The sequence below is a fragment of the Homo sapiens genome, chromosome 13 (assembly GCF_000001405.40).
Source record: "Homo sapiens chromosome 13, GRCh38.p14 Primary Assembly".
In the NCBI taxonomy this organism is placed as follows: Eukaryota; Metazoa; Chordata; class Mammalia; order Primates; family Hominidae; genus Homo; species Homo sapiens.
Window position 1 is genome coordinate 24543743 of NC_000013.11, and position 27404 is coordinate 24571146.

Genomic DNA, 27404 nt, shown 5'->3' on the forward strand with positions numbered 1-27404 from the left:
AGACCTTCCTATGAATGCATTCTGCAGGTTGATTTAGAAAACAAAAATTAAAACTCCCCTTACATCAGAAAAAAATTAACAAAAGACAACATACTTGCAAAATAGTCACATTATATACATAAATATAGACATATATTATTTGCAATGAAAAATGTATTTTCCTTTTACAGAGAATTTTTTTAAAGAAATAGGAACTATAATTTAAAATTGGTCAAAGTACTTTTTCCAGATCTACTAGTGATCTGGAAAATCAGTAGTACTTATACCAGTGCTTAAAGTTTAAGTTACTGTTAACTTTTTAAATAAACAATTTGGTGGCGAACATCACTCTGAAAAAGGCATGTATTCTTTACTCATGAATTCCGTTATACTAAAATATTTTCAGGAAATAATTAGAGATGCATACAATTCATTTTTCTCAGCACTGCTTCCAATAGCAATGTATTAAGGAGAGGACAAATAAAGGATTTTATAAATAAATTTCAGTGCATCCATAGGATGAAATTATGTGTAACTACTGAACGTAGCAATAGACATGGATGTATGTTGACATGGGAAGATGTACTTTGGTATATGAGGTGAGAAAAAATCGATTTGTTTATACAAACACACAAACAGAATGGTCTTGTGGTAGCCAAAAGTATACACAAAATGTGATAAAATTTTGTTATTTTGGGACATTTGTATTACAGGTGATTTATTTTCCTTTTTCTTATTGTTATATCCACAATGAGCATGTATAACAGGTTTAGTGAAAGTTTATTATTACTGAAATAATCCTAGGTAAGAACAGGAATATGAAACTTGAACAGATAAAAATAAGTTCTTGCTTTCTATTAATTTTTTTTTGTGGATTGGTATCTTCTGCCAAGGTTTAGCCTCTTCAGAAATAGAGGGACTCTTTTAATCTGTGCTGGTAGATTGTATTGTGTATACTCTTTATCATATACATGTCTTTTATTATGGATAGATTTATTACATACATGCAAACAATTATAATTTAATAATTTTATTTTAGTGGTGTCCTTATGAAAATAAAAAATAGCAAATATAAATCATTTCTATTGCACAAATGTTACTTATCTTTACTAGTTTTCTGTAAAAATATTGAACTCCTCAAATATATTTACGTAGTCTTTTAATCCATTTATTCACCAAATGTGACCTGAATACCCACTGTGTATTCTACTCTCTCTCAGAACCTTTCCAAGCTTAAAAAATTTATGTTTACCTACCCAATTTGAGCAAGTTGAGAGAATTAAAATTGGACTATTAGGACTTAATCTAAGTTGAAGCTTTTCCTCCCTCCTTTCAAACAAAAGCATTTCTGAAGGTAGAAAGTTGTAAAAGATAACCTTGAAACTATCCTTTTGAAAATTTATAACAGTGTTTCTCTTTTCTTAATTTCAACTTTTATTTGAGATACAGAGGGCACATATGCAGATATCATACATGGGAACATTGAGTGATGGTGAAGTTTGGAGGACAGATGGCATCACTCTTGCCATGAGCATAGTACCTGGTAGTAGTAATTTAACCCACTCCCTTATAGAAGTCTTAAAGACTAATATTAATCATTGATAATATCTGATTTACATATATCATATAAATCAAAATATTGAATAAAATGAGCCATGCTTATTCATTTGAATTTTGATGTTTCTTTGGCCTAAAGTTTTCTGAAAGCCAAGTAAGAATAGTTTTTTGGTAAAAATGTGTCATTATTATCTCAGCCGTTTTTTTTCGCTGTTCTTTTTTGGGTTGTCTTCCTATTTTTTATTTCTATGGGTACATAGCAAGTGTACATAATATATTTATAGGTACATGAGGTATTTTGATACAGGTATACAATGCATAATTATCATATCAGGGTAAATGGGTATATCTGTCCCCTCAAGCAGTTACTGTTCTTTGTGTTACAACATTCCAAATATACTTTTTGGCTATTTTAACATGTACAATAAATTATTATTATTATTATTATTTTTTGAGATGGACTCTTACTCTGTCGCCCAGGCTGGAGGGCAGTGGCGCCATGTCGGCTCACTGCAAGCTCCGCCTCCCGGGTTCACGCCATTCTCCTGCCTCAGCCTCCCGATTAACTGGGACTACAGGCGCCTGCCACAATGCCCGGCTAATTTTTTGTATTTTTTAGTAGAGACGGGGTTTCACCGTATTAGCCAGGATGGTCTCTATCTCCTGACCTCGTGATCCGCCCGCCTTGGCCTCCCAAAGTGCTGGGATTACAGGCCTGAGCCACCACGCCCGGCCAATAAATTATTGTTGACTATAGTTTCCCTGTTGGGCCATCCAGCGCTAAATCATATTAATCCTATCTAAATATTTTTGTACCAGTTAACCATCCCCACTTCCACCCTCCCCCAATCTCAATACCTTTCCCAGCCCCTCCTAAGTATTGTTCTACTGTCTATCTCCCTTTGTTCAATTGTTTCAATTTGTAGCTTCCACAAATGAGTGAGAACCTGCAAACTTTGTTCTTCTGTGGCTGGCTTATTTTACTTAACATAATGTCCTTCATTTCCATCCATGTTGTTGTAAGTGTCAAGATCTCATTTTTTTATGCCTGAATAGTACTCCATTGTGTCTATGTAACACTTTTTCTTTACCCTTTCTTCTATGGATGAACAGTTATTTCCCAAATCTTGGCTATTGGGAATAATGCTTCAGTAAATATGAATGTACTCATAGTTCTTCAATATACTGATTGCCTTCCCTTGGGGTTTATACCTAGCAGTGGGATTGCTAGATCATATGGTAATTCTATTCTTAGTCTTTTCAGGAACTTCAAAACTATTCTCCAAGGTGGTTGTACTAATTCACTTGGGTGGTGGGGAACGTGTCTGTACTGGGGACAGATGACTGAGACTACACGTAGTTTGTTTACCGGAAGGAGGGAAATAGCTCCTACTCTTGATCATTTGAACCCATTTTTTGGAATGGGTGCTTTCATACATGGAAGACTTCAATGTTGGAGACTGTCATTGAGTCCTAGAGGGATCTGTAAGTAGGAGCCCATAGGAAAGAAGAACTTGAGATAGCAATTGGGAAAAACAGAGATACAGCTTTCAGGACTCTATTTTTCCAGCAGTCTCTCTCCTTGGGTATCAGAGCATCTGTGAAGATTCTCAAGGGCTTGCTAGTTGATGTGGACCTGAACTAGGCAGGACCTACGCAGGGAACATAATTAAAGTTTATCTTTGCTAAGGTTTTAATCTTTCTGCAAAGCATATTTCCAATAATGACATAGACACTTGTTCCTTTAACTTTCGTACATTGAGCTGTCAAGCATTTCAGACATTTCAGCGAACTGCCTACACTGTTTTAGGGTAAAGGGCAGCAATAGGGCCTACTTAAGTGGTTTCCATGCTGAAGAACCAAGACTGCCATTTTTGAGTGGCACAGATTAGCCTTTGAACCAGAGACAGGTAATGGAGAAGACACAGTGTCTCTTTCTTACCTTGTTTTAAGTGATCAATTGGTTCCAATTCAGGTAACAAAGGTTATGTCACTCATTAATTGGATATTGAATTCAGCCTTCAGGACAGACACTTCTGAAGACAAATTATTCTCAGGCTCTGCCAATATATTGCTGGTCACTATTTGTTAAGGAACTAAGGGTGAGTCTTCATTGAACATTTCATAGATTGGGAAAGGTGGAGGCAGAAATAGGTAACTAAAATCTTTTTGAAAAAGAGGCCGATTTTAATTATATTAAGGAATATTATCTATTGTATAGGTAGCTGACCTTTCCCCAGATTTTGTTTTTGTTTTTGTTTTTTTTGGTGGGGGGTGATACCCAGACACAAAACAAATAATTTTTTTTTTTAAGAGAAGTGAACTCACTCATTTTTCTTGTATGTTTTTATCTTTAGGCTGTCCAACGAACAGAGTTCTGGTGACTCATGGCTTTCAATAGATGATGAACTCTTTGATTCTGGTACCAAGGTAAAGTGCTCTTTTGTGAAATAAATTTTCTTGCTCTGAATCTAGTTTTGCACAGTATTTACTCTTCAACTGTGGCAGCGGTCTACCTATAATTGTTTTACAGTCTTGGGGAATAGTTGGTCAGAAAAAAAACATATTATAGAAATATGACTATTTGAATTTCCTTTACTTTTTTCTTTGGAAAATGGGAAAGGGTGCTAAATACTTAGAGGAATTGGGGGCTGAAAAATGGCATGAACTGGGAAATACATAGTGACAGGAAAACTGTATGTGGAAAAGCTTTCCCACAGTAGAGGAAACTTGAAATTTGGTCAGGGTTTATTTGGTGAGTATTCTCACAGGAACTTTTCAGTCATACTATTGTGATCTTTATAATCCATGTGCTTGAATACCTTTTAATGGGTTCAATTACTCATTATAGTAACCATAGAATGTCCCCGGGGTCTTTCAGTTCCAAAACAGTAAAGCACATATCATATGGTTTCCTTTTACTTTCTTGGATGCTTACTGTGGGATGACACAGTTTTTAGTAGGAAACTTTTTCTCTCTTTGGTCCTTGGTTCTGTAATTAGACTCCAATAACATTGTGGACATGTAGCTGGGCATGCTGGCACATGCCTGTAGTCCCAGCTCTTTGGAAGGCTGAGGCAGTAGGATCACTTGAGTCCAGGAGTTCCAGACCAGCCTGGGCAACATAAGAAGACCTCACCTCTAGTTTTTTTTTTTTAATTATACTTTAAGTTTTAGGGTACATGTGCACAACATGCAGGTTAGTTACATATGTATACATGTGCCATGTTGGTGTGCTGCACCCAGTAACTGGTCATTTAACATTAGGTATATCTCCAAATGCTATCCCTCCCCCCTCCCCGCACCCCACAACAGGCCCCGGTGTGTGATGTTCCCCTTCCTGTGTCCAAGTGTTCTCATTGTTCAATTCCCACCTATGAGTGAGAACATGCGGTGTTTGGTTTTTTGTTCTTGTGATAGTTTGCTGAGAATGATGGTGTCCAGCTTCATCCATGTCCCTACAAAGGACATGAACTCATCACGTTTTATGGCTGCATAGTATTCCATGGTGTATATGTGCCACATTTTCTCAATCCAGTCTATCATTGTTGGACATTTGGATTGGTTCCAAGTCTTTGCTATTGTGAATAGTGCCTCAATAAACATACGTGTGCATGTGTCTTTATAGCAGCATGATTTATAATCCTTTGGGTATATACCCAGTAATGGGATGGCTGGGTCAAATGGTATTTCTAGTTCTAGATCCCTAAGGAATCACCACACTGACTTCCACAATGGTTGAACTAGTTTGCACTCCCACCAACAGTGTAAAAGTGTTCCTATTTCTCCACATCCTCTCCAGCACCTGTTGTTTCCTGACTTTTTAATGATCGCCATTCTAACTGGTGTGAGATGGTATCTCATTGTGGTTTTGATGTGCATTTCTCTGACGTCCAGTGATGGTGAGCATTTTTTCATGTGTCTTTTGGCTGCATAAATGTCTTCTTTTGAGAAGTGTCTGTTCATATCCTTCACCCACTTTTTGATGGGGTTGTTTTTTTTCTTGTAAATTTGTTTGAGTTCATTGTAGATTCTGGATATTAGCCCTTTGTCAGATGAGTAGATGCAAAAATTTTCTCCCATTCTGTAGGTTGCCTGTTCACTCTGATGGTAGTTTCTTTTGCTGTGCAGAAGCTCTTTAGTTTAATTAGATTCCATTTGTCAAATTTGGCTTTTGTTGCCATTGCTTTTGGTGTTTTAGACATGAAGTCCTTGCCCATGCCTATGTCCTGAATGGTATTGCCTAGGTCTTCTTCTAGGGTTTTTATGGTTTTAGGTCTAATATTTAAGTCTTTAATCCATCTTGAATTAATTTTTGTATAAGGTGTAAGGAAGGGATCCAGTTTCAGCTTTCTACATATGGCTAGCCAGTTTTCCCAGCACCATTTATTAAATAGGGAATCCTTTCCCCATTTCTTGTTTCTGTCAGGTTTGTCAAAGATCAGATGGTTGTAGATATGTGGCATTATTTCTGAGGGCTCTGTTCTGTTCCATTGGTCTATATCTCTGTTTTGGTACCAGTACCATGCTGTTTTGGTTACTACAGCCTTGTAGTATAGTTTGAAGTCAGGTAGTGTGATGCCTCCAGCTTTGTTCTTTTGGCTTAGGATTGACTTGGCAATGCGGGCTCTTTTTTGGTTCCATATGAACTTTAAAGTAGTTTTTTCCAATTCTGTGAAGAAAGTCATTGGTAGCTTGATGGGGATGGCATTGAATCTACAAATTACCTTGGCAGTATAGCCATTTTCACGATATTGATTCTTCCTACCCATGAGCATGGAACATTCTTCCATTTGTTTGTATCTTCTTTTATTTCATTGAGCAGTGGTTTGTAGTTCTCCTGGAGGAGGTCCTTCACATCCCTTGTAAGTTGGATTCCTAGGTATTTTATTCTCTTTGAAGCAATTGTGAATGGGAGTTCATTCATGATTTGGCTCTCTGTTTGTCTGTTATTGGTGTATAAGAATGCTTGTGATTTTGCACATTGGTTTTGTATCCTGAGACTTTGCTGAGGTTGCCTATCAGCTTAAGGAGATTTTGGGCTGAGACAATGGGGTTTTCTAGATACACAATCATGTCATATGCAAACAGTGACAATTTGACTTCCTCTTTTCCTAATCGAATACCCTTTATTTCCTTCTCCTGCCTGATTGCCCTGGCCAGAACTTCCAACACTAAGTTGAATAGGAGTGGTGAAAGAGGGCATCCCTGTCTTGTGCCAGTTTTCAAAGGGAATGCTTCCAGTTTTTGCCCATTCAGTATGATATTGGCTGTGGGTTTGTCATAGATAGCTCTTATTATTTTGAGATATGTCCCATCAATACCTAATTTATTGAGAGTTTTTAGCATGAAGTGTTGTTGAATTTTGTCAAAGGCCTTTTCTGCATCAATTGAGATAACCATATGGTTTTTGTCATTGGTTCTGTTTATATGCTGGATTACGTTTATTGATTTGGGTACGTTGAACCAGCCTTGCATCCCAGGGATGAAGCCCACTTGATCATGGTGGATAAGATTTTTGATGTGCTGCTGGATTCGGTTTGCCAGTATTTTACTGAGGATTTTTGCATTGATGTTCGTCAGGGATATTGGTCTAAAATTCTCTTTTTTTGTTGTGTCTCTGCCAGGCTTTGGTATCAGGATGATGCTGGCCTCATAAAATGAGTTAGGGAGGATTCCTTCTTTTTCTATTGATTGGAATAGTTTCAGAAGGAATGGTACCAGCTCCTCCTTGTACCTCTGGTAGAATTTGGCTGTGAATCCATCTGGTCCTGGACTTTTTTTGGTTGGTAAGCTATTAATTATTGCCTCAATTTCAGAGCCTGCTATTGGTCTATTCAGAGATTCAACTTCTTCCTGGTTTAGCCTTGGGAGGGTGTATGTGTCGAATTTATCCATTTCTTCTAGATTTTCTAGTTTGTTTGAGCAGAGGTGTTTATAGCATTCTCTGATGGTAGTTTGTATTTCTGTGGGATCGGTGGTGATATCCCCTTTATCATTTTTTATTGCGTCTATTTGATTCTTCTCTCTTTTCTTCTTTATTAGTCTTGCTAGCGGTCTATCTATTTTGTTGATCGTTTCAAAAAACCAGCTCCTGGATTTATTGATTTTTTGAAGGGTTTTTTGTGTCTCTATTTCCTTCAGTTTTGCTCTGATCTTAGTTATTTCTTGCCTTCTGCTAGCATTTGAATGTGTTTGCTCTTGCTTCTCTAGTTCTTTTAATTGTGATGTTAGGGTGTCAATTTTAGATCTTTCCTGCTTTCTCTTATGGGCATTTAGTGCTATAAATTTCCCTCTACACACTGCTTTGAATGTGTCCCAGAGATTCTGGTATGTTGTGTCTTTGTTCTCTTTGGTTTTAAAGAACATCTTTATTTCTGCGTTCATTTCATTACGTGCCCAGTAGTCATTCAGGAGCAGGTTGTTCAGTTTCCATGTAATTGAGCAGTTTTGAGTGAGTTTCTTAATCCTGAGTTCTAGTTTGATTGCACTGTGGTCTGAGAGACAGTTCGTTATAATTTCTGAGGAGTGCATTACTTCGAACTCTGTGGTCAATTTTGGAATAAGTGCAGTGTGGTGCTGAGAAGAATGTATATTCTGTTGATTTGGGGTGGAGAGTTCTGTAGATGTCAGATGTCTATTAGGTCCGCTTGGTGCAGAGCTGAGTTCAATTCCTGGATATCCTTGTTAACTTTCTGTCTCATTGATCTGTCTAATGTTGACAGTGGGGTGTTAAAGTCTCCCATTATTATTGTGTGGGAATCTAAGTCTCTTTATAGGTCTTTAAGGACTTGCTTTATGAATCTGGGTGCTCCTGTATTGGGTGCATATATATTTAGGACAGTTAGCTCTTCTTGTTGAATTGATCCCTTTACCATTATGTAATGGCCTTCTTTGTCTCTTTTGATCTTTGTTGGTTTAAAGTCTGTTTTATCAGATACTAGGATGGCAACCCCTCCCTTTTTTTGTTTTCCATTTGCTTGGTAGATCTTCCTCCATCCCTTTATTTTGAGCCTATGTGTGTCTCTGCATGTGAGATGGGTTTTCTGAATACAGCACACTGATGGGTCTTGACTCTTTATCCAATTTGCCAGTCTGTGTTTTTTAATTGGAGCATTTAGCCCATTTACATTAAAGGTTAATATTGTTATGTGTGAATTTGATCCTGTTGTTATGATGTTAGCTGGTTATTTTGCTCATTAGTTGATGCAGTTTCTTCCTAGCCTCGATGGTCTTTACAATTTGGCGTGTTTTTGCAGTGGCTGATACCGGTTGTTCCTTTCCATGTTTAGTGCTTCCTTGAGGAGCTCTTTTAGGGCAGGCCTGGTGGTGACAAAATCTGTCAGTATTTGCTTGTCTGTAAAGTATTTTATTTCTCCTTCACTTGTGAAGCTTAGTTTGGCTGGATATGAAATTCTGGGTTGAAAATTCTTTTCTTTAAGAATGTTGAATATTGGCCCCCACTCTCTTCTGGCTTGTAGAGTTTCTGCCTAGGGATCAGCTGTTAGTCTGATGGGCTTCCCTTTGTGGGTAACCCGACCTTTCTCTCTGACTGCCCTTAACATTTTTTCCTTCATTTCAACTTTGGTGAATCTGACAATTATGTGTCTTGGAGTTGCTCTTCTCAAGGAGCATCTTTGTGGCGTTCTCTATATTTCCTGAATTTGAATTTTGGCCTGCCTTGCAAGATTGGGGAAGTTCTCCTGGATAATATCCTGCAGAGTGTTTTCCAACTTGGTTTCATTCTCCCCGTCACTTTCAGGTACACCAATCAGATGTAGGTTTGGTCTTTTCACATAGTCCCATATTTCATGAAGGCTTTGTTCGTTTCTTTTTATTCTTTTTTCTCTAAACTTCTCTTCTTGCTTCATTTCATTCATTTGATCTTCCATCACTGATACCCTTTCTTCCAGTTGATCGAATCAGCTGCTGAGGCTTGTGCATTCGTCACGTAGTTCTCATGTCTTGGTTTTCAGCTCCATCAGGTCCTTTAAGGACTTCTCTGCATTGGTTATTCTAGTTAGCCATTTGTCTAATTTTTTTTCAAGGTTTTTACCTTATTTGCCATGGATTCGAACTTCCTCCTTTAGCTTGGAGTAGTTTGATCGTCTGAAGCCTTCTTCTCTCAACTCGTCAAAGTCATTCTCCATCCAGCTTTGTTCCATTGCTGGTGAGGAGCTGCATTCCTTTGGAGGCGGAGAGGCACTCTGATTTTTAGAGTTTCCAGTTTTTCTGCTCTGTTTTTTCCTCATCTTTGTGGTTTTATCTACCTTTGGTCTTTGATGATGGTGACGTACAGATGGGGTTTTGGTGTGGATGTCCTTTCTGTTTTTTAGTTTTCCTTCTGAGTCAGGACCCTCAGCTGCAGGTCTGTTGAAGTTTGCTGGAGGTCCATTCCAGACCTTGTTTGCCTGAGTATCAGCAGCAGAGGCTGCAGAACAGCAGATATTGGTGAACAGCAAATGTTACTGCCTGATCATTCCTCTGGAAGTTTTGTCTCAGAGGAGTACCCGGCCGTGTGAGGTGTCAGTCTGCCCCTACTAGGGGGTGCCTCCCAGTTAGGCTACTTGGGGGTCAGGGACCCACTTGAGGAGGCAGTCTGTCCTTTCTCAGATCTCCAGCTGCATGCTGGGAGAACCACTACTCTCTTCAAAGCTGTCAGAAAGGGACATTTAAGTCTGCAGAGGATTCTGCTGCCTTTTGTTTGGCTATGCCCTGCCCCCAGGGGTGGAGTCTACAGAGGCAGGCAGGCAGGCAGGCCTCCCTGAGCTGCAGTGGGTTCCACCCAGTTCGAGCTTCCTGGCTGCTTTGTTTACCTACTCAAGCCTCGGCAATGGTGGGTGCCTCTCCCCCAGCCTTGCTGCCACCTTGCAGTTTGATCTCAGACTGCTGTGCTAGCAGTGAACGAGGCTCCGTGGGCATAGGACCCTCCGAGCCAGGTGCAGGATATAATCTCCTGGTGTGCTGTTTGCTAAGACTGTTGGAAAAGTGCAGTATTAGGGTGGGAGTGACACGATTTTCCAGGTGCCGTCTGTTACTCTTTTCTTCGACTAGGAAAGGGAATTCCCTGACCTCGTGTGCTTCCCGGGTGAGGCAATGCCTTGCCCTGCTTCGGCTCACACTCGGTGTGCTGCACCCACTGTCCTGCACCCACTTTCCAACACTCCCCAGTAAGATGAACCTGGTACCTCAGTTGGAAATGCGGAAATCACCCATCTTCTGCATCACTCATGCTGAGAGCTATAGACTGGAGCTGTTCCTATTTGGCCATCTTGGCTCTGTAGGGTCCAGCCCCACAGGGTCGGTGGGTTTCTCCCCATGTGTGGAGATGAGAGAGTGTAGAAATAAAGACACAAGACAAAGAGATAAAAGAAAAGACAGCTGGGCCCAGGGGACCACTAACACCAAGACGCAGAGACCGGTAGTGGCCCCGAATGCCAGGCTACACTGATATTTATTGGATACAAGACAAAGGGGCAGGGTAAGGAATGTGAGCCATCTCCAATGATAGGTAAGGCCACATGGGTCATGTGTCCACTGGACAGGGGCCCTTCCCTGCCTGGCAGCCAAGGCAGAGAGAGAAAGGAGAAAGAGAGAAACAGCTTACATTATTATTTCTGCTTATCAGAGATTTTTAGTACTTTCACTAATTTGCTACTGCTAACTAAATGGCAGAGCCAGGTGTACAAGATAGAACATGAAGGCAGACTAGGAGTGTGACCACTGAAGCACAGCATCACAGGGAGACGGTCAGGCCTCCAGATAACTGCGGGTGGGCCTGACTAATGTTAGGCCCTCCACAAGAGGTGGAGGAGTAGAGTCTTCTGTAAACTCCCCCGGGGAAAGGGAGACTCCCTTTCCCGGTCTGCTAAGTAGCGGGTGTTTTTGCTTGACACTAATGCTACCGCTAGACCACGGTCCGCTTGGCAACAGGCGTCTTCCCAGACGCTGGCATCACCGCTAGACCAAGGAGCCCTCTGGTGGCCCTGTCTGGGCATAACAGAAGGCTCGCACTCTTGTCTTCTGGTCACTTCTCACTATGTCTCCTCAGCTCCTATCTCTGTATGGCCTGGCTTTTCCTAGGTTATGATTATGGAGCAAGGATTATTATAATATTGGAATAAAGAGTAATTGCTACCAACTAATGATTAATGATATTCATATATAATCATATCTAAGATCTATATCTGGTATAACTATTCTTGTTTTATATTTTATTATACTGGAACAGCTCGTGTCCTTGGTCTTTTGCCTCAGCACCTGGGTGGCTTGCCGCCCACAGGCTCCACCCCCCTAGTTTTTCTTTTAACATGGAAATTCAGAAATTTAAAATTTCTGTCTCAAAATCTGTATTACAAAGAGATTCCCATGTGTTTCCTAAGCCATTCTATGAAGAATATATTTAAAACTCTTCATCTAATTGAGCATACACGTTTTTCCTCAAGTAACAACCAGCTCCAGAAGCAGAGACTGTTAATAACCATGTGGTAAGACTTTAATTTCAAACACTTTTTGCCCTGTATTATAAAAAATATTCACAGAGCATCTTTGTATCATAGTTTAAAGTATCAAATTTCAGAAGTTTTTGTATTTCATTGTTTACATAATCATTTTAAAGATCCTGCACCACTGTGAGCTACTGAATGTTACGAAACATATTCTTGTGTATCCTAATGTACCTAAGGTCTTGCATGTAAGAAGTGTTTTAATCATTTTTGAACATGAAGAAATGAGCAGACAAGTAAATTTCTATATAATAGAATGTTATAGGTAGTATAACATGCACAAGATATCTAATAATAAGATCTATCGCATTTCCAAAATGGGGCTTAAATTAATGTTTAGGATATAAGTTCACATGAATTATGCAAATATGTTATAAATAAGAAGGAAATAAATTAGAAATATGTCATCAGTAGGAAAGCAGATTACAGTATATTTTCTAATATCCTCTAACTGTAAGCTCAGATTTGGATTTTAGATGAAAATTTCTTAAGCTTTCTTTTAGCCCCAACCTATGCTCTTTTAAATATATCTTTTCAGGTTGTATGTTACTCTTTATAATTTTGATTTCCTATGATTTCTCCTGGTGGAATATTGATGAAACATTTCTTTTCTCTTTTATCTCTCTGTAGTAATAATGTTCCAGCTTTCACATAGTGGTAGATGACCATGTTTACCTGAATGAATGTCTTATTTTGTAGAAAGAAAATTGAAGTCTTTATTACAGAAATACTTACAAAAAAATTGTAAATTCTAATCAGTATTTTTAGGGCTATCCTATGACCAAAAGTCTCCATATAGATCTGTACTTCTCCATGTACCTTACTGTAGTTAATATCATAAGAATGACATTCATAAATATTATCTCCTAAGTATGTCTAATGAAAAAATTTGGGAAGAAATGTGAAATCCTTTTGTAAACTGTGAAGTGTGTATACAAGTGTAGGACAAAATGATCACGGTGGGATTCAGCGATTTAGTAAATATTGAAGATTCTTTTTGTAAACCTGAACAATGAAATGGCAGTAGTGTCGAAAAAAAAAAATAGAAATTTAGAACAGGCATGTCGATTTCTACTTTGGTTTATGTTAAGTTTCAGCAGACTATGACTGGGAATATCCTAAGGGAATCTAGTGATTTGGCACTTGAGACCTTTCTGATGAGATTGTAAGTGTTTTTGACCTTGGAAGAATTTCTGTTCTTGACTCCTGACTGTGTGCTAGGCAGTGAGACACTGAATGTACAAGATGAGGCTTATGATAGAGTAGTAAGAGCAGAAAATCAAGTAAAGAACAAACACTTCTAAGTCACTATAAATGCTTCCTATAAAGAAAACAGAGAATGTTAGGTTAGGGCACATTGAAGAAGTGCGTAGTTAGGATGGGGGCCGGAATGGGAGTAGAACTGTGTTCTCAGAGAAGATCTTTCTGAGTGTGACATTTAAGCTACCAACTAGAGGACAAGAAGCAGCGAGCCATGTGAAAGTCTAGAAGGAGGATATTCTGGACAGAGAGAACAATGGGTCACATCTGTTTTTCATTTTGTTCTCAACATCCAAAAAGCAGGAAGTACGGTAAGCATCCTCGTCCTCATATGTATTATTAGAATGTGTAGAAAAGAGAATGTGTAAATAAGGGCCTGGGACTGTTTAGATGCTTCATAATAAATGTTCCTCTCCTTCCCTTTTTACTAACTCTTGCTATACTTTCTTGAAGTTATTTCTTAATTGGGAAAGAATGGCATACTATATCTAATATTTGCTTGCTTTTATTTAAACAAGGCATAAAGAAAAGGCTTCTTACTATTTTGCCATTTTTCCTGTCAGTAAAAATTTTACCAAAAATATTTTGAGTTTTCCAAGCCCTTCCTCACCTAAATAAAGCAGCTTTGACAATGTTCTGCTTACACTCAACGTAACATACCCTGAAGTTACCTATCATGCCGAGTATCTTATTTTAACACTAAGATCATTTATGTAATTAGAAATATTTTAAATATGAATGTTGTAAGTATTATACCAATTGTGTGTGTTTTTTTTAATGCCCTGTTATTGTTGGTAGTGAACGCAAAGTTGAGTTAGGTGTTTGAAGTTAGTTCCTTGCTGACATATACAGAAGAGCTAATATTGTATCTGTGACTATGTTTCCTTTGGCTTTCTATGTTCAGTTTACAGAGTCAATAGCCATATGGAGATAAAATATTTGCTTGATCTGGAGAACATATATGAGTTTCTCTGTTGAAATATTTTGGTTTTCAATACATGCTTTCCTTACTTCTAGGTCTCATTGCTTTTAAATCAGGAAATTCAGAACATGTTTAGGAAATATTGAGAAATTCATTGTTTTTTCACTGAAACTCATTATTCATTATAATTTCAACAGACTACCTTTGAGAATGTTCCACAGAAATATGATAGTCACTTAACTGGAGCTGATGATGGTCAAAGAGGAAAAATTACAATAAAGGAACAAGAAGGTAAGAACTGTATTTTATTTAAAAATTTGACAGAATGTTTAAAAACATGAGCTCTGTTATGTTCTAGTAGCCAAGGAAAATAAGGTATTAAGTGCATAGTCAAAAAAAGAGAAGTGAAATAGTGATATGTTGTATATTTTGTAAGGCATTAGCAACCAATTTAATTGAGAGTGCCACTAAAGGAGCTGAATCATTAGTTCCAATTCAAGATACTGTAAGACCTGAGGAAAGTCAGAAAATAAGGAAGAAGAAAAGAGTAAATGAAGGAATGAAGAGTGAAAAGGCGGAGAGTACAGGGAGTAAATGAGGGAAAAAGATATATGCAATGAAGGGCGATAGAGTAAGATAATTATTTGAGGAGAATATAAAGTGAGCTTCCAGTACCGAAACTTGTCAGAGAATTCAAGCAAAATGTTGCCACTCTTGCTGTTTTCCTTACTTTTGGGAATGCATTAAGGATGGAGGTACCTGACCACACAGAGCTATGTTTCATCTGCGATAGAGGAATGTAATGTATGGTCAGCCGTGCATAAATTACATGTCTATAATTTAATGTGCTATAAAATCTTGTTACTTCATGGGACAGTATCTTAGGGGCCAAAAGAAGAGCATTGGAAAGAAGAGGGTAGGATTAATTATGGAAAGATCAAGGAAGCTATAGCCTGATAAAAAGTTCATTAGTAACTTTACGACTTGTAATGCAGCTTAGATTTGGAGGACGTGATAGGGTGGAGCTTGAGGCTGGATTCCAAAAGGGCAGGTTGAGGTTAACTAATGTGGGAGCACACTCAGTATAGACCAGAGCTTCCCAAATTTTAACAAATCAGCTGAGGACCTTGTTGGAAGTGCAGATTCTGATTCCACAAGTCTGCGATTCTGTATTTCTAATAAGATCTCAGGTGATGCCGACCCTTCTTGTCCTAGGACCACACTCTCAGTAGCAAGGGTATAGCTGTGCCTTCAGAGAAATCTCGAAGAAGAGCCCTTGGATCACCACTCAAGACATAACAGGATCAAGGGAAAGCATGATTTTCCCTTTATTTCTGAGCGTGTCTCTGGCCAGAGGGGAAGGAGAAAGAGATGAAGAAACAGAAATCATCATTGGAAGATACTACTGCTAAATGAAGAGAAGAGAAGTCATGGGAATAGTCCATCAAAAGGCGGCAGAAAGGTCAGAATCAGGACAACAGATCTAGAGACTACTTTTGCAAAGGAAGAGGGATTGTGAGTGGAGGAGGAGGGAGGAAAGAAAGAAGTTGGCTAGTTAATTTTGGAGTTGATAATAGGGAAACTTGAGAGCTGTCACTTCTAGTGACTGCAATATATTGGCACTCAAACAGAAGATTAGGTGATTGCTGTTCCAGGAATTACTGGAAGGAGGGAGTGCTAGAATGGGGGTAAACCACAGGAACTAATTTCTTCTCTCTGTAACTATCAGACATCAAAGATGCATGTTTTGTTGATATTGTGTCCGGAATTGGTGGGTTCTTGGTCTCACTGACTTCAAGAATGAAGCCACGGACCCTCGCGGTGAGTGCTACAGCTCTTAAGGTGGCATGTCTGGAGTTTGTTCCTTCTGATGTTCGGATGTGTTCGGAGTTTCTTCCTTCTGGTGGGTTCGTGGTCTCGCTGGCTCAGGAGTGAAGCTGCAGACCTTCGCGGTGAGTGTTACAGCTCTTAAGGCAGCACATCTGGAGTTGTTCGTTCCTCTCGGTGGGCTTGTGGTCTCACTGGTTTCAGGAGTGAAGCTGCAGGTCTTCGTGGTGAGTGTTACAGCTCATAAAAACAGTGTGGACCCAAAGAGTGAGCAGTAGCAAGATTTATTGCAGAGAGTGAAAGAACAAAGCCTCCACAGTGTGGAAGGGGACCCGAGCGGATTGCCACTGCTGGCTGGGGCAGCCTGCTTTTATTCTCTTATCTGGCCCCACCCACATCCTGCTGATTGGTAGAGCTGAGTGGCCTGTTTTGACAGGGCGCTGATTGGTGCTTTTACAATCCCTGAGCTAGATACAAAGGTTCTCCACCTCCCCATCAGATTAGTTAGATAGAGAGTTTCAACACACAGGTTCTCCAAGGCCCCACCAGAGCAGCTAGATACAGAGTGTCGATTGGTGCATTCACAAACCTTGAGCTAAACACAGGGTGCTGATTGGTGTGTTTACAAACCTTGAGCTAGATACAGAGTGCCGACTGGTGTATTTACAATCCCTGAGCTAGACGTAAAGATTCTCCAAGGCCCCACCAGAGTAGCTAGATACAGAGTGTCGATTGGTGCACTCACAAACCCTGAGCTAGACACAGAGTGCTGATTGGTGTGTTTACAATCCCTTAGCTGGATATAAAGACTCTCCATGTCCCCACCAGACTCAAGAGCCCAACTGGCTTCACCCAGTGGATCCTGCACCAGGGCTGCAGGTGGAGCTGCCTGCCAGTCCCGCGCCATGCGCTGGCACTCCTCAGCCCTTGGGCGGTGGATGGGACTGGGCGCCGTGGAGCAGGGGGCAGCATTCGTCGGAGAGGCTCGGGCTGCACAGGAACCCATGGAGGCGGGGGAAGGCCCAGGCAGGGCGGGCTGCAGTCCAGAGGCCTGCCCCGTGGGAAGGCAGCTAAGGCCCTGCGAGAAATCGAGCGCAGCGCCAGTGGGCTGGCACTGCTGGGGGACCCAGTACACCCTCCACAGCCGCTGGCCCAGGTGCTAAGCCCCTCACTGCCTGGGGCCGGTAGGGCCCGCCCGCCGCTCTGAGTGCGGGGCCCGCCAAGCCCACGCCCACCCAGAACTCCAGCTGGCCCACAAGCGCCGCGCGCAGCCCCGGTTCCTGCTAGCGCATCTCCCTCCACACCTCCCTGCAAGCTGAGGGAGCCGGCTCTGGCCTTGGCCAGCCCAGAAGGGGGCTCCCACAGTGCAGCGGCGGGCCGAAGGGCTCCTCAAGTGCCGCCAAAGTGGGAACCCAGGCAGAGGAGGCGCCGAGAGCAAGCGAGGGCTGTGACGACTGCCAGCACGCTGTCACCTCTCAATATGAGTTAATCAACTGAGGTAAAGTTAAATGTAGGAGCTTTGGCTGCTTTTTCTTTAAGGTAGCCGGTTTTTTAAATAGGATGCCTGTTTTGTAAAAGTTTATCATGGATGACATGATATGCCAACCCAAACTAAGTTTGGAAACAAAAAAAATTACAAAGTTTATTCCTCAAATACAAAAGGCATTACTTTACATAAATATTACACCCATTTTGGTATATAAAAGCTCAGTAGTAACTAATAATTGTGTAGCAATGCATTTTTTATTAATATTTCAATGTTGAAAGCTTCTTAGACATTATTTTTAGACATGTTTTATATACCTTCTTGCATGAGTGGATCAAAAAATTTAAGATGGCTAAACTACGGGATATAAGAAATGTAGGCCTATCAGTAAGCTCAAGTAGGTATGAAAAAAATGAAGATTTTTATGAACTATTTTGTGTAAGTGTGGATCCAAAGCAATTCACACTTGTGAAAGTGTGGATCCGAACACTTTCTCTGATGAGAAATGAATTAAACATTCAAATGAACTGTCATGACAACTGTGTGCTTCCTACATTCTAGGACCAATTGAAGGACATAGTAGGTACTTGTAGTAGAATGGTATAAATGATTCTGATGTGTCACATTAAAGACACACTATAGCATTCTACCATCAGCTTTGACATTTATCTGCCCAGGGTCATGATTTGCTCCTCTGGTTAAAGATCATTTTTCTCCTCCTCAGCATGTACACATGGTTGCGTGCATACTTTTCTCTCAGTTACAGATATTCGAATCAGAATCTTGCCTTTGAAATGTTAACTGCATGTTTTATTCAACCTATCTTCTTAGTTTTCTTCAGGATATTTCTGTCATGTTGTTGTCCTGACAAAAAAATGCACCCCTAAATCTAAACTCATTATTTTTAAAACGAAGCACTAAGATTCAGCTTGATACTAACTCTGAGTGTATGGTTAGATTTATCATATTTATATATAATTGATTATATGTCCCTTTTGCCTTCCAGATTCTCTTCAGCAATATCATCACTTGAAGGTAATAACTTTTCTATATTTATCTTTAATTATTAACCACATAGTATATGAAATATATATTACTTATTAATCATTTTGTCTTAAAACCCTTTCAGCCTAAGGTTGAAATGAAAGAGTGTGTTTCGAACCAGGCAGTCGGAATGAAAGATGTACAAGCATGCACATCAGGTAAAAATTTTTGCAATACAAATTTAACTCTGGAAAGAAGCACATTAAAAATAGTTTAAATGCTAGCAGTCTTCGTATTCCTGTCTTTTTTTTTTTCAAATTTGAGGGATAGATTTGATATATATAATGCAGATATTAGCATTGGTATCTATGTTTGAAAAACATTATATTTAGAAGCATAAGATAGATTTTAAAAATGTAAGCTCTAACTTAGATGTATCTTGTATTACGTATTGCTACGCTGAAGTTCTCAGTTGGGAATACCTATACTCATTCGGGTTTCACAGAAGTGAATTATGAGACTACAATTTTTTCCCGTGTTTGAAATGCTTGTTGGAATTCTGATCTTTACCTAGAGGAAAGCTTTCCTTGCTAACATGTCAATTTTGTATAAAGTTTAATTACTTCATCCTAGTGTTAGACTGATTATCTGAAGCAAATTGGATGTTTTGATTAGTGTGTGTGTGTGTGTGTGTGTGTGTGTGTGTGCAGGGAATATCTTGGAGTACAAAAATGAGGAAAGTAATCTTTTTTTCATGGCTATTTGGCAGACACACTCATTTCAAAGAGTGATTCTGAAACTTTATAGGCTTAGGGTTTTTTGTGCAATTAATAATTATTGCATAGAAGTAACCAACACCCTGAATTAGGTGTTTGTCATTGTCATGCACTTTTCATACATTTTACCATATATGTGTATGGCCATAAATCATATGTAGAATTGGTGTTTCTGTCCTAAAATTTCAATCATATAACTGATTGTACATTATAAATATATTATTCAGCAGCTTTCTTTTGCTTACTCAGCGTTATAGTTTTGAGATCAGTCGATATGTTTTGTTCACACCCATTGATTTGTCCAAAGAGATGCATTGCTATTTTCAGAAGTAGTTCTAGTTGAGTTTACATTTCCTATAGTATTTCATGCTATGACAGTACCACATTTAATTCAACTCTGTTTTGTGGTGAGAAAAAGATAAAAACATTAAAAAATGATGGCATATCCCAAAGAGCTTTTGTTTAAGTGGATTGTATCTATTGATATTTACTATATCAGAAACTGAAGCTGAATAATTTAAAATATAAGCATGCACCACCATGCATTCCAATAGCCATTATAACTCTGGCCCATTAAGCACCCATGATCTTATGACACATCACGTGTCTCATGGTTAAACATAAGTCTTGTTATTAAAAGAAAGTTCATATTACTGAAGAATATTATTAATAAACAAAGCTCTCATGGAAAACAAAATATATAATATTGCTGAGTGAATCAAATAAGTAACACTAAAAAATAAAAATGTCAAAGATGATCGTTAATAAAACCTATGTGAGTGAATGGCAAGTACAGGACATGTAGAATACAATAAGCCATGCAGGAGTGGTGTGTTTCTGGGGGAGTGGAGGACATGGGACTGCTTCTGTTTTAGAAGGAATTTCTCCACGTTAGTCAAATTGTATTATGATTTACATTCTAATAATGAAAACTTTACTTTCAGCTTTTTCAGCTTTGGATTTTAATAGTTTGACCTTCAGTAATGAGCTTCATGAAAGATCTGAGAATTTGAAAGTTGGTGATCTATGTCCATTTGTGTCTCCACCAATGACCAACACTGTGTTGGGATCCACAGACTTGGGGAAGATGAACTTAATAGATTAAGAAAAGATGACCACTGCAGCTGCATTTCTATTTTGGAATCACACTCTCCGTGACCTGTGTGAGTCACAGCTACCAGAAAACAAAGACAGCAAAGAAGGTAATAAAGAAGCATAGAGAATTCAGTCCCAGTGTAGCTGTACTTGGCTTCATAATACCATAGTTGTAACTTTTAAAGAATCATTTTGTGGCAAAGTGTGTATTGTGTTTACACCCCCCTTATACAAGCTACAACCAAACAGAGGACCTATCAGCAGGGCATTTATGTTCTTCCTTTAACCAAAGCAACATAAAAATAAGAAAGAGAATGAGATGGACGAGTAATTTTGTTTAGGCTAGCATTTAACATAAACTTGAATGTGAGTCCAAGGATTACATGCAGAACTTTGGGACTGGGGGGGAGATGTTTGATTGCCTGCTCAAACACAATGTGGTTTCTTTGCTTTATTTCCATAGCTCTGAATTTGTATCAGTTGTAACTATATAAAATGTTGCCCCTAAAGCACCTTCCAAACCCCAAAATTAAGTTATTTTTAATAACTTCTGTGACTTTATGTAGTATAGAATTGTCTTTCCCAGTATGAATGGGTATCCTTGAGAATTTGCTAGATGGTGTCTTTTCAGCTGTGTTCACACAGTTTATCACCTTGTTTTCATGAATAACAATTTACTAGGAATACTAGTTTGAAGGAAGGTGGTGTCATTAAAAATAACATGAAAATACATTTTAATTTTACTAGGACACATAATCTGTTGAATAATTGCATCTAATATGTGTTCTACTTTATGTCCCAGTTAAATTCATTGTCTTTAATAAGGTATACGATCAGATCTATATAGTAATAAATCATAAAATATTTTTGCACCCCAATAGTTTCATTTCCTTTTTTACACGGCAAAACCCAGTCTCTTGAAAAAATACAAAATTAGCCGAGCATGGCAGCTGCCTGTGGTCCCAGATACTCAGAGGCTGAGGTGGGAGAATCTCTAGAGTCTGGGAGGCAGAGATTGTAGTTAGCTGAGATCGCACCACTGTGCTCCAGCCTGGGCTACTGAGCAAGACCTTGTCTCAAAAAAAATGACACAAAAGAAAAGATGATTTGAAAGATTGTCCCATACAGTTTAGGACAAAAGGGATAGACATGCATAGAAAGAATGTACATTTCAGGTGGTAAATATACACTAGGAAAATCAATGCAGTGCTAAGGCAGCCCCAAGGAAAGAGATGCCTGTTTTTCTGAGGAAAGATAGCAAGAATCAAGGAATACTTCACACAGCAATGTGAGTGATGAAAAAGAAATGGTTAGAATAGTAGAGGAAAACATTTCTGATATCGAGAACAGGATGTACACTGGTAAAGTATAAACAGTTACAGTAATTCTGGAAATCATTGATTATAGGCATAATGTGTTGTTAAGAATGGCACTACTGGACCGAGCGCGGTGGCTCACGCCTGTAATCCCAGCATTTTGGGATGCTGAGGCAGGCAGATCACCTGAGGTCAGGAGTTCAAGATCAGCCTGGTTAACATGGTGAAACCCCATCTCTACTAAAAATACAAAATTTAGCGGCTTGAGCCACCTCACCCGGCTGAAAATTTTTTTAAGACAGGCTCTCACTGTGTCACCCACACTGGAGTTTGAGTGAATGCAATCTTAATGGCCACAATCAATATTCTTTTTTAGGTCACAGTCAAAATTCTTTATTGATAAAGACCTCTCATGTTTATCTCAAAAGAAGCTTTAAGGATTGTCTAGGAATCACCACATGCTATTTAGGTTCTATGTCTCAAAAAAAGAAAATGCTAAAATAATGTAGAACATTTAAATTCACTATTACTAATTACACAGTTTTCTGTGATTGGAAATGGTCATCAAACCAAAGGGAAAATTGCAATTTTCATACGTTATCTTGAGTAATTTCACTTAGAGATTTCATTGAAGTTAATTCTTCGTCACTATTGTTGGTAAATTAAGAGTTTTTAGGAAGCAGTTTCTGTAATGAAATTTCAGATGTTTTGAATATTTCTGTTTTATAGTTAACTGTGCAATACTTTTATTGAGGTTTTCAAATACAATTACTGTGCAGTTAAAGAAAGCAATGTTATGTCCAGCTTTCAGTAATTGCTTGTATGGGCTATCTGTAGTCCCTGGATGAAATAATGCTTGAGTAGATGAATAAAAATACATGAATGAATTATAATATTTAGACAATGAAGATTGCCTATAACCTTATTTTTAGCATAATTCCCTAAAGCTATTTGTGTTATATGTTTGAATGCATTTCAATATGAACTTGGTAACTGTCATTTCTATTTTAAGACTTCAGTGACCTGGGAGGAGAAAATAATTGGGCCCAGTGGTTATTATTACTAGATTTTCCTTTGCTTGAATCTAGGCTTGTGTCTTTCATCTATTGGAATAAAAGCATTAAAAATAATCTGTGGTATATTTTATATAATCTGATTCATTGGTAATCTAATCTTGCAATATAAACTGGGTGCATTAAGCACTTGTAGTATATTAAGCCTGGGAGACTGAAGTTTCTTTTCAGCGTTCCTATTAAGTATATGGTGATGGAAATTTTTCAAAATTTTTAATGGAAAATGATGTCCCAATTCACTCTTTTCTTTTTGATTTTAGATGGGAAATGTAAAGTCATAAGATCAATAGGTTGACTGTGACAACTATATTTACTTACAGAGAGAACAGGAAATGAGAATGGGTGATGTGGGTCCCCATGAAGCAATAAACATAGGAGGTAGGGATTTGAAGCAAAAGGCTTTTGTAATTTATCATTTTTGGGGGGACTGTTTATGCTGTTTGTGGTATCTATATATCAGTAAGAAACTAAAATACGGGACCAACATTTCTAAAGGTGAAATCTCTTACATCCATTAAACTGGAATGCAATACAATTATATTAAAAAATATGCCTGGGAAGAAAATTCTCATTTTGTTTTTGTTTGAAGGCTAAAAGATGTGTTATACATTCATAAGCTTAATGAAAGAAACATATAAACCAGGTTGTAATACAGCCTGAAAGGAGTGTAGTCATTGCATGGTGTAATACAGCTCTGTTTTTGCAGTTTTAAAATCAAATTTATGCCTTCTAATTGGCTTTTTTTTTTTTTTTTTTGGCAGGACCTCACTCTGTTGTGCATGCTGGAGTACAGTGGCGCAGTCTCTGCTCCCTGAAACCTCGACTTCCAGGGCTCAAGAGATCCTTCCATCTTACCAAGTAGCTGGGACTACAGGCACGCGCCACCATACCTGGCTTATTTTTTGTATTTTTAGTAGAGACAGGATTTCACCATGTTGCCCAGGCTGGTCTTGAGCTCCTGGGCTCAAGCAGTTTGCTGGCGTTAGCTTCCCAAAGTGCTGATATTACAGGTGTGAGCCACCTTGCCTGTCCTAATTGAACATTGGAAATTGATAGTTTCCGAGTTGGAAATTGATAGTTTCTGAGTTGTGTTTTTAGGCTTTTAGAGAGCATTTTATACTTTTCTGTCTTAAACTAGCTTTTTGTGTAACTTTGAAGCTGTTTTCCTTCACTTTAATGAATATTGAACTTTTTTCCTTTAACCTACAGTATTGTGCACAGAAGTGCACTCAGTCTTTGTAGACTATGACTCGTCAAGGGAATTACATGTGTGTTGCCAATGCATGTTTTAGAGTTGACTAAGCTTTTAAGAAAGTATATTAGCAACTTCAGTTTGGATTTGCTCATATAGCCAAGTTGCAAGGGAAATAATGCCAAGTAAGTAACCTGAAGGAAAAACAAGTGTGGCATATCGTAGGCCTTACTAAATTTGAAATTTGAAATGTCATACATTTGAAAGTTGGATACGGAATTAAATTTTATTAAATTAATTGTCCCACAAAAGCTGTCCCACATTAAATTGTCCTACAAAAGGTGTTATGAAGCTAAAAATCTTTATATAACTTAAATGTACATATTGTTTTAAAGATTACACTACCATGGCAAACAATATTCTTAACATGCACACCCATTTACAAAATCAAGTATGTTCTTAGCATGTATAGTCTATCAAATGAAACTTAAAAGAAGTCATGTGTGGAATGAACATTTTCCATGATCAGCTTTTTTTCTTAAACTTCTGTTGCCAGTTTTTCAGTACTACTAATCAGATGATGTAGAGTCATATATTGCTGTTTACTTGATCACTTTTTACCAACAAGTAGTTAGTGAATACTTCTGGTATATGCAGGAAGCAAGAAACATGGCCCTTGCCCATAAAGAACTTAATTGTGAAATTACTACAGTGGATACGTGAAATAATTAATGAACCAAGAGTGTCTACATTCCAAACTATGAAGCATAATTGAGTATAATGATGTCCAAGTGGTCCAATATTTATGTCTTTTTTAGAGTAAATTTTGGGATGGTATTTAATATAATCCATGTAATTTTAAGGATTTTAGGAATAAGGTTATTGTAGATTATAGGCAGTTTAAAAGGCCATTATCATTATTAGAGTGACATTAACATCAAAACTAAACTTTAAAATAGTATAAAACTTAAAACCGTTTCTGATGGTATAGAGATACTCTGCAATTTTATGAGAAGAAATATAAGAATATGCCTTTAGAGTCCTTATTTAGTTAGGAATTGAGGAGAATTAAAAATTTTTTGTGACATTTTATTCACCAGAGGACCTATTTACATTTTAGCACTTACTCTCCTAAAGTCCAGTTTATCTAATTTTCTCTTCAGTCTTCATTCAATGTGAGACTTCATCATAATGGTTTTGTAGAGCTATTAATCATTATCATGCAGTTGGGTTGTTGGGAAGTTAAAACTGTCATAACTAATCAAGTTACATTGATGGAAAGTGGCAGCAGATTTTCTGGTGTATCACTAGTGTGTATAACCAAGTGAAACCTACATTATAATGCTACCTTTCTAGTAACCAGATAATGCTAACATTTCTTAGATCCTTAAATTTATTTATAGCTATGTGGTGAAAGATATGAGTACTAAAAGTAAGGCTCTAAGTTAACTGCTGTTAGTTGGAAATATTATTTTTGATTTTTTTATACCCACAGATGTATAGTTATTTTCCAAACCCACCATTGTAAAATTACATTCTATTAAAGAGAAAAAGAAGAAAAAGAAACTTAATTTGTTTTTTGGGGGATAGTTGAGGTAAGACCCTTCTTAGATATTGTTCTTGTACTCTCTTCATTTCTAGATTGTAGAAATTATTAAAATAGCTATTTAGGGCTATACTGAGGGAGTGAAAATATTCTTGGATAAAGTATATTTATTGGCAAGAGCATTTGGGGTGAAGGAAACAATTCCTTCCCACGAAGTTGCTAGGTTCCTGGGGATTGGATTTGAAGAGCAGAAGTATGATGCAGGGGCTGGTAGGGACTCAGCCATGTAGAGAGTATAATGTATAATTTCAGCTGCATTATAATGTATCTTTGAGAAATTGAGTTCTTATTGTCAGAAAATTGATCTATGTAATGAAATACTAGAAGAAAACCCTAAATTAGAATGGCTTTGTTACGAATTTTTAATGATAAACAAGTGCTACCACTTAAAAGGGAAAAAAATTTTCAAAGAAAATACCTAAAAATGTGTTGTATTTGAGATCATCATATATGTAGTATTAGAGCACAGACACTATTAAAATTAATAGGAGGTAGGTGGATTTTTTTAATGAAAAACTTGAAATATATCAGATTGTCCCCATTTATGGAATTTAAGCTTGTCAGAAAGATCCAGATAGCTATATATTTTATCTGCATTTGGTTGCGGTTGCTTTTAAAAATAAGTTTTGTTATAAGTCATTTCAATTTTTTTGTTTACATTCCATATTTCAATATAAAAAGTTAAAAGAGAGTACCTCCTGTAATTTAGCAAGGTATTCCATAAACTCAAGGAGGAAAAAAAAACTAACATGAGAGGCTAGTTATAATCATCTTTATGTATATATTGCAGGAAATTATTTCCTCTCTGGCAACTTAGCATAATTTACATGCTAATATTTTTAGCCACAGCTTAAAAAAATTAAGTGGTTTTGTAAGTGCTAATCCTTTGTTACTCATTTAAACTGGTAAAATGTAGTCCCCATTGTTAGGTATTATTTGGTGTAAAAGCCAACTATAACAAATAATAGTGATGTCTCAGCTTGCAAACTGTTACAGTCTTAAATGCCCTAAAATAATTGATAGTTTCCTCATTGATTTTATGTACATTTGGCTTGGGGATGAAAATTCTAATTCGAGTGTAGGTAATGCCCTATTACAGATTAGATAATGCATATCACATTCTCAAGGAACAAAAATAATTTTAATAACGGTCTTGGTATATAGATTGCATAAATATTGTTAAATTTTAAATGTTTACTAAACTAAGATAGGACAGCTCTAAGTATAGATTGTTTTACATAGATGTGTTTAACACAGCCCCTGCTGGTAACCAAGGTCCTCCTCCAATGACGGGTATGAATATGAACAACAGAGCAACTATACCTGGCCCACCAGTGGGTCCTGGTCCTGCCATGGGACCAGAAGGAGCCGCAAATATGGGAACTCCAATGATGCCAGATAATGGAGCAGTGGTAATGTATCATAAACATTATTTTGATTATATTCAGTAATGTACACTTCTGCATCAAGGATAACTTCACACTTAATATAATTTGGTATCATTTGTTTTGGCAGCCAATGAAGAAGAAAATTTTGTGACATCATATGTTGATTTACTAGAGATAGTTTTTAAGTAGTCCAAGAATTAGGATTACTGTCTGTGGCATGCTGTGGTACCTCAGTATTTAGCAAATACATATGCTAATTACATTATTTTTCTGTGCTTTTAATTTGTATCCATCGTTTACCAGCATTCTAATGTTCAAGAATTTTATGATGGTGTTCTTTTCCTGTGTGGACTCCTTATGTTTGATGGGGACAAAAGTCCAATATGTATGAACACAGAGTTTTCAGTAAATTTTTTTTTTTTTTTTGAGAGAGTCTCG

General features: G+C 37.9%; 1 protein-coding gene and 1 pseudogene across 4 annotated transcripts in view; both read left to right on the plus strand.

Annotated features, from left to right (window-relative positions):
* Positions 1-27404, plus strand: part of LOC101927375 (ankyrin repeat domain-containing protein 26-like) — a 30147-nt gene extending 2743 nt beyond the window's left edge. The window contains exons 3-11 of one of the 4 annotated variants that reach the window (XM_011535334.3): positions 3894-3966; positions 14421-14514; positions 18543-18571; positions 18666-18738; positions 20241-20498; positions 23101-23158; positions 23542-23790; positions 25468-25567; positions 26836-27404. In XM_011535334.3, coding sequence (XP_011533636.1) covers positions 3894-3966; positions 14421-14514; positions 18543-18571; positions 18666-18738; positions 20241-20401 — 430 coding nt within the window. In that variant the 3' untranslated portion in view covers positions 20402-20498; positions 23101-23158; positions 23542-23790; positions 25468-25567; positions 26836-27404. Of the gene's footprint in view, positions 1-3893; positions 3967-14420; positions 14515-15438; positions 17549-18542; positions 18572-18665; positions 18802-20240; positions 20499-23040; positions 23159-23541; positions 23791-25467; positions 25568-26835 lie in introns of those variants that run through there. The other 3 variants (XM_011535335.3, XM_047430817.1, XM_011535336.3) reach the window with 3 other exon arrangements.
* PSPC1P2 (paraspeckle component 1 pseudogene 2) lies at positions 23101-26986 on the plus strand (annotated as a pseudogene).